Below are 14,520 nucleotides of genomic sequence, written 5' to 3' on the forward strand. Positions count from 1 at the left end.
TAAAATATTAAAAACAAAGTGTAATGAACTTATCCTTCCAGGAATGCTGGTTTACATCACATAAACCACTCCTGGTAAGAAAAATTAGCAAAGCAGGATTCAAAAAAATTTAATCGCAAAATAGTAAACAATTATGAAACAAAGAGGAGAAAAAGGGAAATCAGAGAGGTAAATCCTAGGAACGTGATTCAAGGAATAGTTGAGCAGAGGTTTGGCAGCACTATAGGGCTAGACAGTAAGAAAAAAAAATCTATCAAGAAAGGATCTCTGATAAACCCCCTACATTGAGTTGGGATCCCAAAGGGCTCCATCTAGTAGTAAGGGGTAGCTGGAAAAAAAACTTGGGACAGAAGTCCAGTTTTCAACCATCTTAGTTCCTCTAATTGGATTACGGTAATATAAGATTGCTAGTTCCCCTAACCAACTGCCATGAGCAAATGGAAATCCTACCAGGAAATACAATTTTAGGCTTCAAATGATTTCAACACTTTTTGTATACAACATCTTGCACACAATAAAAAGTAACCAGACAAATGAGAAGAGAAGATGATGTAATAAAAAATTGAGAGAAATACCAGCAACAGAAATGAATGCACAGGAGATTCAGAATATGAATAATCAGACATTTTACAATTTTTAATAGAGAAAATTTTTTTAAACCCAAAATGGATTCTTTGAAAAGACTAATAAAATTGATAAACCTTTGGTAAGGTTGATTGAGGAAATAAAGAATCAGAAATAAAAAAGGAGTCTATTATCACAGAGCCTATAGATATTTTTAAATTATATTATTTAAATATATTAACTTTATGTCTCTAAATTTGAAATTTTTAATAAAATGGATATATTTCTATAAAAAACAATTTACCAAAACTGACATATGAAGAAATAGAAAATATGAATCATTCTGTAACCTTTAAAAGAATTAAAAACCATAACAAAGGCCATCATGATTTCCCCAGAGTTATTTAACTCCCTTTTCCCATGTAAAATTTACTTCCAAATCTTTGAGAAGGCATTCCTTACTTCAGCAATAGGAATCTTCAGGGTTTTTTTTAATTATGAGGACATATTTTCCCTTCCTCATCTTATTTAACTCAGTGTTATAAAACTGTTCTATGATTTACTTTTGAGGATTATATATATTAGCTTCTCATATATTTCATACCCTAGGAGTTTAGATCATATAGCATGATAGTGAAGGGAGAAAGGGAGAAAAGTGGGAGACATGGAAGGGGAGCGAAAAGAGAGCTGTCCTGATTTGGATTGTTACAGTTCCATATCTGCACCCCCAGCAGTTTATTTATGATGGAGAGAAAATAAGTAAAAATATATGTGACTTGATTTTCAGTTTGAAAATGTGTTAATGAGAAAAAAACCCAAATCAATCTAATTCTTTATGCTTACTTTATGGAAATAAAAAATTTCTGTACTATGTGGTAGAAATGAGTGTGTGCCATTCTGGGAAACTGTTCTTCAGACCACCTGGTGACCTATCAGTTAATCAAAGCATTTGACATTTTTTCTAAAGAAAAGAGGGTGAAATAATAACTTGGCCTTTCTTAAAAAAATATACCCATGGATTCTGTATCCTTGCCAGTTGTCTATTACATAGTTTGTTGAGACTGCCCAACGTTGTCTGGAATTTCCAAGCCTCAGCGCTATAAAAATAATTCACTAGAACTGCCTCAAAATAATTTATATTGTGTAATTACTTAACACTGCACTTTGGACTACAGTATGGGATGGATATGCTAGGAATTATGCTGGGTTCAGTGAGAGTTCTGCACAAAGGCCTCTTTTGCCGTAACTACCAGGTTCTTGATGTTTAAGGAATTGTGTTGATAGGCCCTAGAAACTTAGGACCTACAATTACTGGAGCATATTTATTGCAGCACAGAAGAGAGTTGATGGTGGCTGATACAATATTGGTATAAACAAGGTCACTAGTGTTCCAGTATGAACATTCAAGAGCCCTTAGGGAAAACAAAGAAGTCACTTTCACAAAGAACTTTCAATTGCCTGCTCTCTGATACTAAAACAGAATTTAAAAATGAACCTAGTTCATTTTTTTTCTTGTCTCTTGGCGAAAAGACCACAGAAAACTGATCCTTCACTTAATTTCAAGCAAAAATTGTATTGTTTTTGGTGAAATCCATTTTTTACCTCAAGGATTCAGCCTAAGGTTATCACATCAAAATATATTTTCTTTAAAAATCTGAAGTTTGGCCTTGAATTTTAAAGGAAATTCTGCTTGAATTATTATATAGGATGAAATATTTAAGTATTAATCTTTTTTTCTCTCTTTCAATGAATTAAGACAAATACAAGCACCTTTTAAAAATCAGGCAGGGAAATAAATGCTAATTAAATTCTCTTACCAGTAGTTTTTCATTTTGTGAAACAAACTTTTCTAGATCGGATAGACTTTACTGACGAGTGTTTTTGATAATGCTGAATGGAATTGAGTATGACCTCCCAGATACAGATGCATTTGGACTTCTCATCCACTTAGTCTTTTTCATTCAAACTGGAAAATCATGTGGTTTCATTTTTATTATTTTTTTAATTGAGAGGATTGTCAGGAGAAAATATGTATGTGGCTTTATTTTTATTTTAACCAATAAGATTGTCAGTAGGAAATGCATTCTGAATATAGCACACATGGGGCAAATGTTCCTTTTTGGTCATGACATTTTTTCATTATAATGGAGGTTTGCCAGGGCATATACCATGTTTTAATGCCTTTTACATATAAAATCACAACAAGATAAGACTTTAGACCTCTCTGTAAAAGCTGCGGTATAATGGGAACTAGCATGCTCTGACTGGTTGCCTCAATTAATAAAACAGTCAGGAAATCTCGAGGGTTTCCTTCCACAGATTTGAGTATCCCTTGATGACCTGCATAAACCCTAGTTCTTATAAATCTGTTCACTCTCCTGCACCGGAGGAAGGGGAGATGGAAAGCTGGCCTGTTGGTGACATACACAGCATTATGCTTAGAAAAGTATGGGTTTCTTCCATGCTACCATCCTACTCTTGGCATGAAATTATACTTTGTGATCCTACAGTCATACATATGAAGGAACTACACACATAGGAGACAGCGTGACCCTAGGCTCTGACTGGGTATCTTTGTTTATATTTTGATAAAGAAGTTTATGGAAAAAGTTATTTTTAATTGAACAATAATTTGAGGCATGGTAAAAAAAATATGTATTGTCTAGGAATTATTATTTAATATTTAGAAAAAAACATGAGGCTTTAACTTGAAGAAATAAATATATTTTCAGGGAAAATCTATGTTGTTTCTTATTTATTTGCACTTTGGTACTCTAGAACACCATTAGGATGTCTTGTTTCAGATTTTAAAGGTAGGTATTATCCCTGTGATCCTTCGTGTGCAAACTAGCTTAGCAACCTGCGCCCAGGAGAGTAACCACAGAGGCAGTGGATCTATCCCATGCTCCCTTGCATGAACCAGCCTGGCACTTTGCCCACAGGGAAGCAGCGCCAGAACCAGCAAACTAGCCACACAAACTCTAGCAGCCTAGGTCACAGAGGCACTTACAGGCATCACTGACATTGACTATAGAAACTTCAGAGAGGCTACACTACTGTCCTCACCCAGAACCAAAGCCAATGCACTCTACCCAACTGACTCCCTAGGACACACCTTCAGGTGAAAGTCTTCCCCTCTGGAAGCTACTGTATAAAACTGGAAGAGGCAATTCTTCCACCAGATGCATAGGTATCAACAGAGGGACACAAGAAACACGACACTGCCAAATAAGCACAGTGATTCCCCAGTTACTTAACACAAAGAAATAGAAATTTATGAATCTTAAGGAAACTCAGATACAAGAGAACATAGATAGACATTTCAAATACATTGGGAAGATAATTTATGATCTGTATGAGAAATTGAACAAAGAGATAGATATCATTAAAAAGAACCAAACAAACTTCCACTTGAGCAGCCTGAGACATCCATGGGTGGGGGTATTTTCTCCCTCAACTGTTCCTACCACAGGCTTCCTGAGGTTTTTCCTAGTGAGGCCAAGAGGGTCTTTGAGGAAAACTGCATCCAGACATGCCTTGAGGGAAGGTGTCAAATGCAGGAGCATGGAAAAGAGTTACAATTTGGATATGAAACCATTTTTCTAGCCCACCTTAGAGAAGACTGTTGACACACTGGTCAAAATGGTTCCAATCGCCTACCTTGCAAGACACTTCAGGTTCAAAGAATTTCCCTTGTAAAAGCAACAAGGGAGTTGTCAGAGTTTTCCATTTAGATCAACAAATTCAAGTTCTTACCATGGAAAATTCAGAGAAGACTGTAGTGGTTCTCCTTGCTTGTGGCTCCTTCAATCCTGTCACCAACATGCACCTCAGGTTGTTTGAACTAGCCAAGGACTGCATGAATTGAACAGGAAGATAGAGAGTTGTCGAAGGCATAATCTCTCCTGTTGGTGATGCATACAAGAAGAAGGGACTCATGCCTGCCCATCACCAGGTCATCATGGCAGAACTTGCCACCAAGAATTCCAAATTGGTGGAAGTTGATACATGGAAAAATTTTCAGAAGGAGTGGATAGAGGCTGTTAAGATGCTAAGATACTATCAAGATAAACTGGAGGCTAGTGACTGTGATCAACAGCAGAACTCACCTACACTAGAAAGGCCTGGACGAAAGAGGAATTCCATGAGCTGAACAAAGACAAGCTTCTAGTCAAAAGAGATCCCTAGAGCCAAAAACAAAAGGTGCACCAAAAGTCAAGCTGCTGTGTGGGGCAGATTTACTGGAGTCCTTTGGTGTTCCCAATTTCTGGAAGAGTGAAGACATCACCCAAATCATGGCAGACTATGGGCTCATATGCATTACTCAAGCTGGAAATGCTGCTCAGAAATTCATCTATGAATCTGATGTGCTATGGAAACACTGGAGCAACATTCATGTGGTGAATGAATGGATCACTAATGATATCTCATCCACAAAAATCTGAAGAGCCCTCAGAAGGGGCCAGAGCATCCACTACTTGGTACTAGATCTTGTCCAAGAATACATCGAAAAGCATAATTTGTACAGCTCCAAGAGTGAAGACACTCCGAGAGTGAAGACAGTGAAGACAGCTCCGAAAGTGAATGACAGGGGCCATCCTGGCCACTTTACAGAGAAACACTGCAGAAGCTAAGGCATAGAAATTCTGCAGCATGATGTTTTGCACTTTCCTTTCAGGGTTTGAAACAATCTGGGTGTTAATAACTGGGAAAAGAAATTGTGGTCCTGTTGCATAAACTAAAGATTAAAAGTTTAGTAAAAATCAGTGGTAAGTTAAAATCAGGGTTTTTTTTTTTTTCTTTTTATCAGAAGTTGCTAAGATGAATGTTTTCCATATGGTCTTTTTCTAAAAAAAAAAAAAAAATGTACAATTCTCTTTATCTTTAAACCAAGAGCTTAGCAGCACACAAAAACCAGAAGAATTTTCAGTGAAACTAGCTACAAATAAGAAATCAAAAAGTACAGCCTAGCTCTACCACATAAAAGAAGCAAAGTGTGAAAAGCAAAAGTTCACTTAAAATTCTAATTTAGGTTATGAAGAGAATTGACATTTTATGCATGCCTGCTGTGGGTAATCTGCAGCTAGGGTAGACAAAGGAAGGAATTCTTATAGTGGTGATCTTGTAAAATGCACCATTGATAAATCATCTCCAGTTATGCAAAATAAAGGTTGTGCATATGCCTGGCAGAAACATTGTACCAATAGTTAGTTCTCTGTGGCACACATCACAATTGCTGACTAAAGTTTGGCAAGACCTATCGGCCTGGAGCTTCCTCTTTAGAAGTAGGAAGTGAAGTCCAAGCCCTCATATGTTTAGAAAAGTATGCAAGTTTTCTGATGCCTACCAGAGGTAGAGACCTGCTGCCTTATACTTTATACACAGTTACTTTTCCTTGTTATGGGTCATGCTCTAGCCTTGGTCATCCACCCTCTCTTTATCTTCAGAAACAATTTCAGAGTTGACATCATGTTACCTTGAAGTGAGAGAACCACAGAGAATGAGAAGTCTATTCAAGGATTTTATGTCTGAATGCTCTTAGCCTTTATTGATAGCTTAATCAGAAGATCTAAGTGGGGTGCAGTGGCACATGCTCTGTAGTCCCATCTACCTGAGAGGCTGGAGCAGAAGGATCGCTTGAGCCCAGGAGTTTGACACCAGCCTGGGCAAAATAGTGAGAACTCATTTTTTAAAACTGTGAAGTTTCTGAAGGGCCCTGCTGTTTCTGTTCCAGCCAACTGTGAATCTGCCATTTGTGAATTTAAGCAGAAAAAGGGTCTGTTTTCTCATATTTTTTTCTTCTTGCCCTTTTGTATGAAGTTTAACCTAAAGTAGTATTCTCAAATAATTAGTCATAGCTTCATGTTAAAAACACATGCTTGTTACATGGTTTTCCACTGATTAAAATTTTGTGGAAATTTCACCAATTGCTAAAGCAGAAAGACCAGAAATAGCTTTTTATAGAATCGTTTTGGGGTTTGCGAAAATTGTCCTATGACAGAAACAGGACTAAAGTTAAATTTCTAATGAAAACATAATAATTTGCCTTTTTGCAATTTCTATTTCATTCCTACACAAACCCAGATGAAGGGTTTGTAACTCCAGAAGAAAAAAAATACTTAGATATGTGCAATTGTATAGTCAGATCTGAATCTACAGTTTAAAAAATAAAAATGTTAAATAAAGTTAAGCAAACATATGTGCTTCAGCTCCCAACTTACTCTTACTAAAGCCTTCGGGCCAATTCCCAAAAAACAGGGAGGGTGCAAAGCCTGACACCTAGCAGCTTTCAGGATCCATCTGCCAAGTGAATGAAAGGTTGGAATCTCAAATCCTACAGATAAGAGTCATTTTTCTCCTCCTCAGCTTCTTGGAGTTTAAGAGTTGAAGCGGCCCTGAAAAGTAATGATTGAGCATGAAGAAGCTATAAGAATTGAACTTTGATACCTTCTGGGAAATAATACACAGTTTATCTGAAGTGTTGTGTAAACTGCAGAAAGGTTCCAATGCTAGAAAATTCTCTCATACTGTCATGCCTTCCCACTTAGAAGTGCCCATGCCCTGCTCAGCTGTGACTCTACTGACCTCAGGACCTCACTGGACAAGTCATGTGGTAACCCTTGCAGGAGACCTGATAATGGTGAAATGATTCTATTGTTATATTATTTATGGAGCAACAACTTTGTACAGAGAACGAGCTGCTTGGCTTTTTCTTCCAATGCCGAGGATGCTGCTGATGCTGCCATGTAACAGCATACTTTTGGGTGTCCTCAAGGATAGAACTTCCCCTCTGAATAATGGAAATTAGAACAATGAACTTCACAGGGGAATAAATATTAATTACTGATGTGAAGAAAATATTCCATTGTTTATTCCCTACCACATCATTTCCATAATTGGCTGTTGTACTGTGAATTTAGAGGAAATGGGTAATGCTTGTGTTTTGTTTTGCTTCTTTGTTTGATGCTGGGGGTTTTATGTGTTGTACACTTTACCCCTTACATTGCATAATTTGAATGCAGCAAACAAACCCGCAATAAAAGTCATTTATTGGCATCTTCATTCAGATGAATGGAGAGCCTTTGTGGTAGTGTCAAAAAAAATAAAAATAAATAAAAATAAAAAGAACCAAACAGAAATTTTGGAGCTGAAAAATTTAACCAATAAAATGAAGAAATACAATTCAGAGCTTCAATAGCAGACTAAATTAAGCAGAAGACAAAAATTTGTGAACTTAAAGACAGGTCTTTTCAAATAACCTAGTCAGAGATCCAAAAGAAAAAAGAATAAAAAGAACAACCAAGGCCAGCTGGACTTCTGGGACACCAACTAAGCAAACAAATATTTGCATTATGGGATTTCCATAGGACAAAGATGAAGAGAGACACAGAAAGGTTACTTAAAAAAACAACAGTTAAAAACTTCCCACGTCTTTGGAGAGATATGTACATCCAGCTCCATGAAGCACAAAGGATCCCAAACAGATTCAACCCAAAGAGGTTCTCTCCAAAGCACATTTTAATCAAATCATCAAAAGTTAAAGACAGAATTCCAAAAGCAGTGAGAGAAGAGAATCAAGTTACATATAAGGGAATCCCCACTAGACTATCAGCAGATTTCTCAACAAAAACTGCAGGCCAAGAAAGAACCAGATAATAAATTTGAAGTGCTTAAAGAGGTGAGGTGGGGGTGCGGGGGAACTGTCTACCTAGAATACTACACCCAGAAAATTTATACTTCAGAAATGAAGGAGAAATAGTGTTTCTAGGCAAGAGAAAGCTGAGGTAATCCATCACTGCTAGACCAGCCATATAAGAAATGCTAGAGAGAATGCTTCAACTGGATGTATTAGGAAAATAATTACTAGTATGAAAAAAAGAAAGTATAATCTCATTGGTAGGAGTAAATTTATTATCAAATTTAGAATACTCCATTACTGTAGTGGTGGTATATAAACTTTCAGTTGTCTAGTTTGAAGATTAAAAGTCAAAATGGTCAATGATTACTATAGCTACAACAAGTTGTTAAAATACGTACAGGATATGAAAGGATACAAAGTAAGCAACAAAGTTATAAATTTGGTGGGGGAGGCCAGGTGCAGTAGCTCATGCCTGTAATCCCAACACTTTGGGAGGCCGAGGTGGGTGGATCACCTGAGGTCAGAAGTTTGAGACCAGCCTGGCCAAAATGGTGAAACCCCATCTCTACTAAAAATACAAAAATTAGCTGGGTGTGGTGGTGTGTGCCTGCAGTCCCAGGTACTCAGGAGGCTGAGGCAGGAGAATTGCTTGAACCCGGGAGACGAGGTTGCAGTGAGCCAAGATTGCACCATTGTACTCTAGCCCAGGCAACAAAGCAAGACTCAGTCTCAAAAAAAAAATGTTTTTAATAAAAAATAAACAAATTTGGGAGGTAGAAGGTAAGTCTAGAATACTTGCATGTAGCCAAAGTTAAGTTATTATCAACTTAAATTGCCTATTATAACTACACAGTTTTTAAAATGTAAGCCCCATGGTAACCACAAAGAAAAAAATTACGGCAGATACACAATGAAAAAGAAAAAAAAAATCAAAGTTTATCACTACAAAAAAAATCACCAAACCACACAGGTAAACTATAAGAGAGGGAAAAAGGAACAAAGGAAATACAAAACAAACAAACAAACAAACAAACAAAAAACAGAAAATGATCTAACAAAATGTCAAGAGTAAGTTCTTACCTATCAATAATAACCTTGAATGTAAATGAATTAAATTTTCCAATTAAAAGATATAGAGTGGCTGAATGGGTAGAAGACAAAACCCAACTATATGCTACCTACAAGAGATTTGCTTTACCCATAAGGACACACGTAGACTGAAAGCGAAGGGATGAAAAATGATATTCAATGCAAATGGAAGCCAAAAGACTACAAGAGTAGCTATACTTAGATAACAGATAATTCAAAAATTGAAAGGGGAGACAAAGAAGGTAAATCTATACTAAAGGGGTCAATTAGCAACCAATTAAAACAATTCTAAATAGATATGCACCCAACACTAGAGCATATATAAAGCAAATATTATAACATCTAAAGAGTGATACAGACTGCAATACAATAATAGTAGGAGATTTCAACACCCTACTTTCAGCAATAGATAGATCATCCAAACTGAAAATCAGCAAAAAAAAAAACACTGGATTTATACTGCACTCTAGACCAAATGGACCTAACAGATATTTGCAGAACATTTCACCCACCAGCAACCTACAGAATACACATTTTTCTCAAAAGTACATTGAATTTTCTCCAGAATAGATTATATGTTAGGCCACAAAACAAGTCTCAACAAATTTTTAAAAATCAAAAGCATATTAAGTATTTTTCTGATCACAATGGAATAAAATTAGAAACTGATAAGAGGAAGAATTTTGGAAATCGTGCAAATACATGGAAATTAAACAACATGCTCCTGGAACAACCAATGGGCCAATCAAAATATTTAAAATGAAAATTTAAAATTTCTTGAAACAAATGAAAATGGAAACACAACACACCTCAATCTATGGGATATAGCAACAGCAGTTCTAAGAGGGAAGTTTATAGCAATAAACACCTACATCAAAAAAATAGAAAGATATCAAATAAACAACCTAACATTGTACCTCAAGGAAGTAAAAAAAGAAAAAAAAAAGAACAAGCTAAATTTAAAATTAAGAATGAAGGGAATAATAAAGATCAGAGCAGAAATAAGTGAAATAGAGGCTAAAAAATAGAAAACATCAATGAAACAAAGAATTATTTTTTAAAAAGATAAACTAAATTGACAAACCTTTCGCTAGACAAAGAAAAAAGAGATAATACACAGATAAATAAAATCAGAGATTAAAAAGAAGCCATTATACCTGATACCACAGAAATACAGAGAATCATAAGAGACAATTATGTTGTGCACATGTACCCTAGAACTTAAAGTATAATAAAAAATAAATATATATATATTAAAAATAAATAAAAAGAAATAGAAAAAATAAAAAAAAGAAAATCTAGAAGACATGGATATTTTCCTGGACACATATAACCTACCAAAATTGATAATAGAAAATATGAACAGATCAATAATGAGTAACAAGATTCAATCAGTAATAAAAATTTCCGATCACAGAAAACCATGGGACCTGATGGCTTCATTGCTGAATTCTACTGAATATTTAAAGAATAATTAATACCAATTCTTTTGAAACTATTCCAAAAAACTGAAGAGGAGATAAGTTCATCTAAATTCATTCTATGAGGCCAGCATTACCCTGATACAAAAACAAGACAAGGACACAACAAAGAAAGAAAACTACAGGCAAAAATCCTCAACAAAATACAAGCAAACAAAATTCAACAGCAAATTAAAAAGAGAGTTCACCATGACCAACTGGGAGATGGAAGGATGATTCATCATATACAAATCAATAAGCATCATACATCACATTAATAAAATCAATGACAAAACTGATGCAAAAAAAGCATTTGATAAAATTTAAAATTCCTTCAGGATAAAATCTCTCAACAAATTAGGTATAGAAGGAACATACCTTAACATGATAAAGGCCAAATATGATAATTCCACAGCTAACATCATACTGAACACGGAAAAGTTCAAATCTTCTCCTCTAAGATCTGGAACAAGACAAGCATGCCCACTTTCAACACTTTCATCTACCCAGAGCAATTAGGAAAGAGAAAGAAATAAAGGGTATCCAAATGGAAAAGGAGGAACTCAAACTGTCCCTGTTTTCATATAACATAATTTTATATATTAAAAAAACCCTAAAGACTCCACCATAAAACTATTAGAACTAATAAACAAATTTAGTAAAGTTGCAGGATACAAAATCAACATACAAAAATCAGTAGCACTTCTATGTGCCAATAAAAAACTATCTGAAAAATAAACCAAAAAAGCAATCCCACTTACAACAGTTACAAAAAAAAGATACTTAGCAATAAATTTAACCAAGAAGGTGAAAAATTTCTACAATGGGAATTATAAAATGTTGATGATGAAATTGAAGAGGACACAAGTAAATGGATAAAGATATCTTGAGTTCATTGATTAGAAAAATTAATATTAAAATGTCCATACTACTCCCAAAAGATCTACAGATTCAATGAAATCCTTATCAAAATTCCAATGACAGTTTTTCAAAGAAATAGAAAAAACCCTAAATTCGTATGAAGCCACAAAACATCTTGAATATCCAAAGCAATTTTGAGTAAAAAGAACAAAGCTGACGGCATTGTACTAGCTGACTTCAAGATAAACTACAAAGCTATAGTAACCAAAACAGCATGGTACTGGCATTAAAATAGACACATAGACCAATGGAACAGAAGAGAGATCACAGAAATAAATCCACGCACTTAAAGCCAATTGATTTTCAACAAACATGCCATGAATACACATTGGGGAAAGAAGAGTCTCTTCAAAAAATGGTTCTGGGAAAACTGGATATCCACAAGCAGAAGAATGAAAGTAGACCCCGTCTTTCATCATATACAAAAAATCAAATCAATATTGACTAGAAGCTTAAATCAACACTAATGATAAAATTACTAGAATAAAACATAGGGAAATCCCTTTATGACACTGGCCTAGGCAAAGATTTTTTTGATAACATCTGAAAAGCATAGGCAACAAAAGCAAAAATTGATAAATGGGATTACATCAAACTAAAAACTTCTGCACAGCAAAGTCAACAATTAACAAAGTGGAGAGACGACATACAGAATGGGAGAAAATATTTGCAAAGCATACATCTGATAAAGGGTTAATATACAGAATACAAAAGAAACCCAAACAACTCAGCAAAAAAACAAATACAGTCATGTTCCACATAACATTTTGGTCAATGATAAATGGGATCTAAGTAAACTAAAGAGCTTTGGCACAGCAAAAGTAACTATCAACAGAGTAAACAGACAACCTACAGAATGGGAGAAAATTTTTGCAAATTATGTATCTGACAAAGGTCTAATATCCAGCATCTATAAGGAACTTAAACAAATTTACAGGAAAACAACAAACAACCTCATTAAAAAGTGGGCAAAGGACATGGACAAACACTTCTCAAAATAAGATACATCCAGCCAATGATCATATGAAAAAAGGCTCAACATCACTGATCATTAAAGAAATGGAAATTAAAACCACAATGAGATACCATCTCAGACCAGTCAGAATAGCTATTATTAAAAAGTAAAAAAATAACAGATGCTGGTGAGGTTGTAGAGAAAAAGGAATGCTTTTACACTGTTGGTGGGGGTGTAAATTAGTTCAGCCATTGTGGAAGAAGGCGTGGCGATTTCTCAAAAACCTAAAGACAGAAATACCATTCAACCCAGCAATCCCATTACTCATTACTAGGTATATACCCAAAGTAATATAAATTATTCTCTTATAAAGACATGGCACACATATGTTCATTGCAGCACTATTCACAATACCAAAGACATGGAATCAACCTAAATGTTCATCAATGATAGAATGGATAAAAAAATGTGTTACATATACACCATGGAATACTATGCAGCCATAAAAAAGAACGAGATCATGTCCTTTGCAGGGACATGGATGAAGCTAGGGGCAATTATCCTTAGCAAACAAATGCAGGTACAGAAAACCAAATACAGCATGTCCTCAGTTATAAGTGGGAACTAAATAATGAGAACACATGGACACACAGAGGGGAACAAAACACACTGGGGCCTATTGAAGGGTGGAAGGTGGGAGGAGGGAGAGGATCAGGAAAAACAACTAATGGATATTAGGCCTAATAACTGGGTGATGAAATAATCTGTACAACAAACCCCCAGGACACAAGTTTACCTATGGAACAAACCTGCACTTGTACCCCTGAACTTAAAAGTTAAAGAAAAATTTTGGTCAATGATAGCATATATAAAAGTGATTCAATAAGATCATAATATTGTATTTTTTGTGCCTTTTCTATGGTTAGATATGCTTAGGTACACAGATATTTACCATCATGTTACAACTGTCTACAGTTTTCAGTACAGTAATATACTATACAGGTTTCTAGCCTAGGAGCAATAAGCTATACAATCTAGGTCTATGTAAGTACATTCTGTGATGTTCACACAATAACAACATTGCGTTGTAATGCATTTTTCAGAATATATTCCAACCCTTAAATGATGCATGACTGTAATCTGATTTTAAAATGGGCAAAAGACCTAAATAGACATTTCTGAAATGGCCAACAGGTATATGAAAATATGCTTAACATTACCAATCATCAGAGGAATATAAATAAAAGTCACAATGAGATATCACCTTGCCCCAATTAGAATGGGTATTCTCAAAATACCAAAAAATGACAAATGCTAGTATAGATGTGGAGAAAAGAGAACTCTCATACACTTTTGGTGGTAAATTAGGACAGCCATTATGGAAAACAGTATGAAGTTTCCTCAAAAAATTAAAACTAGAACTATTATGTGATCCAGCAAGCTCACTATTGTGTATATGTTCAAAGGAAATGAAATCAGTATGTCAAAGAGATATCTGCACTCTCATGTTTATTGCAGCACTATTCACAAAAGCCAAGATATGGAATCAGCCTAAGTGTTCATCAAGAGATGAATAAAGAAAATGTCACAAATATACACAATGGAATTATATTTAGCCATAAAAAATGAAGGAAATCTTGTCATTTGGGGTAATATGGATTAATCTAGAGGATGTGATGTTAAGTGAAATAAGACAGAAAGAGAAAAACAAATACTGTATGATCTTACTCATATGTGAAATCTAAAAAAGTTGACATCATAGAAGTAGAGTGTAGGGAAGTGGTGACCACAGGCAGAAGAGTGTAGGGGTAAGAGGAGGATGGGGAGAGATTAGTCAATGGGTACAAAGTTACAGTTAGATAAGAGAAATAAGTTCTGTGTTCTGTTGTACA

General features: G+C 35.2%; 1 protein-coding gene, 1 long non-coding RNA gene and 1 pseudogene across 6 annotated transcripts in view, besides 1 other annotated feature; 2 read left to right on the plus strand and 1 right to left on the minus strand.

The window, feature by feature from the left end:
- Positions 1–14,520, plus strand: part of TSHR (thyroid stimulating hormone receptor) — a 190,686-nt gene that overhangs the window by 72,587 nt on the left and 103,579 nt on the right. The gene's annotated exons all lie outside the window — the stretch shown is intronic.
- TSHR-AS1 (TSHR antisense RNA 1) overlaps positions 1–14,520 on the minus strand; it is a 156,341-nt gene that overhangs the window by 14,142 nt on the left and 127,679 nt on the right. The gene's annotated exons all lie outside the window — the stretch shown is intronic.
- On the plus strand, positions 4,267–4,772 carry NMNAT1P1 (NMNAT1 pseudogene 1; annotated as a pseudogene).
- Positions 13,100–13,221: a silencer, noted in NCBI's record as "fragment chr14:81507651-81507772 (GRCh37/hg19 assembly coordinates)". NCBI's record gives its function as "represses an EF-1alpha promoter that drives an FKBP-Casp9 reporter gene in an ReSE screen in HepG2 liver carcinoma cells {active_cell/tissue: HepG2}" and the evidence as "EXISTENCE:reporter gene assay evidence [ECO:0000049][PMID:32094911]".

This window comes from Homo sapiens, chromosome 14, assembly GCF_000001405.40.
Source record: "Homo sapiens chromosome 14, GRCh38.p14 Primary Assembly".
Lineage (NCBI taxonomy): Eukaryota > Metazoa > Chordata > Mammalia > Primates > Hominidae > Homo > Homo sapiens.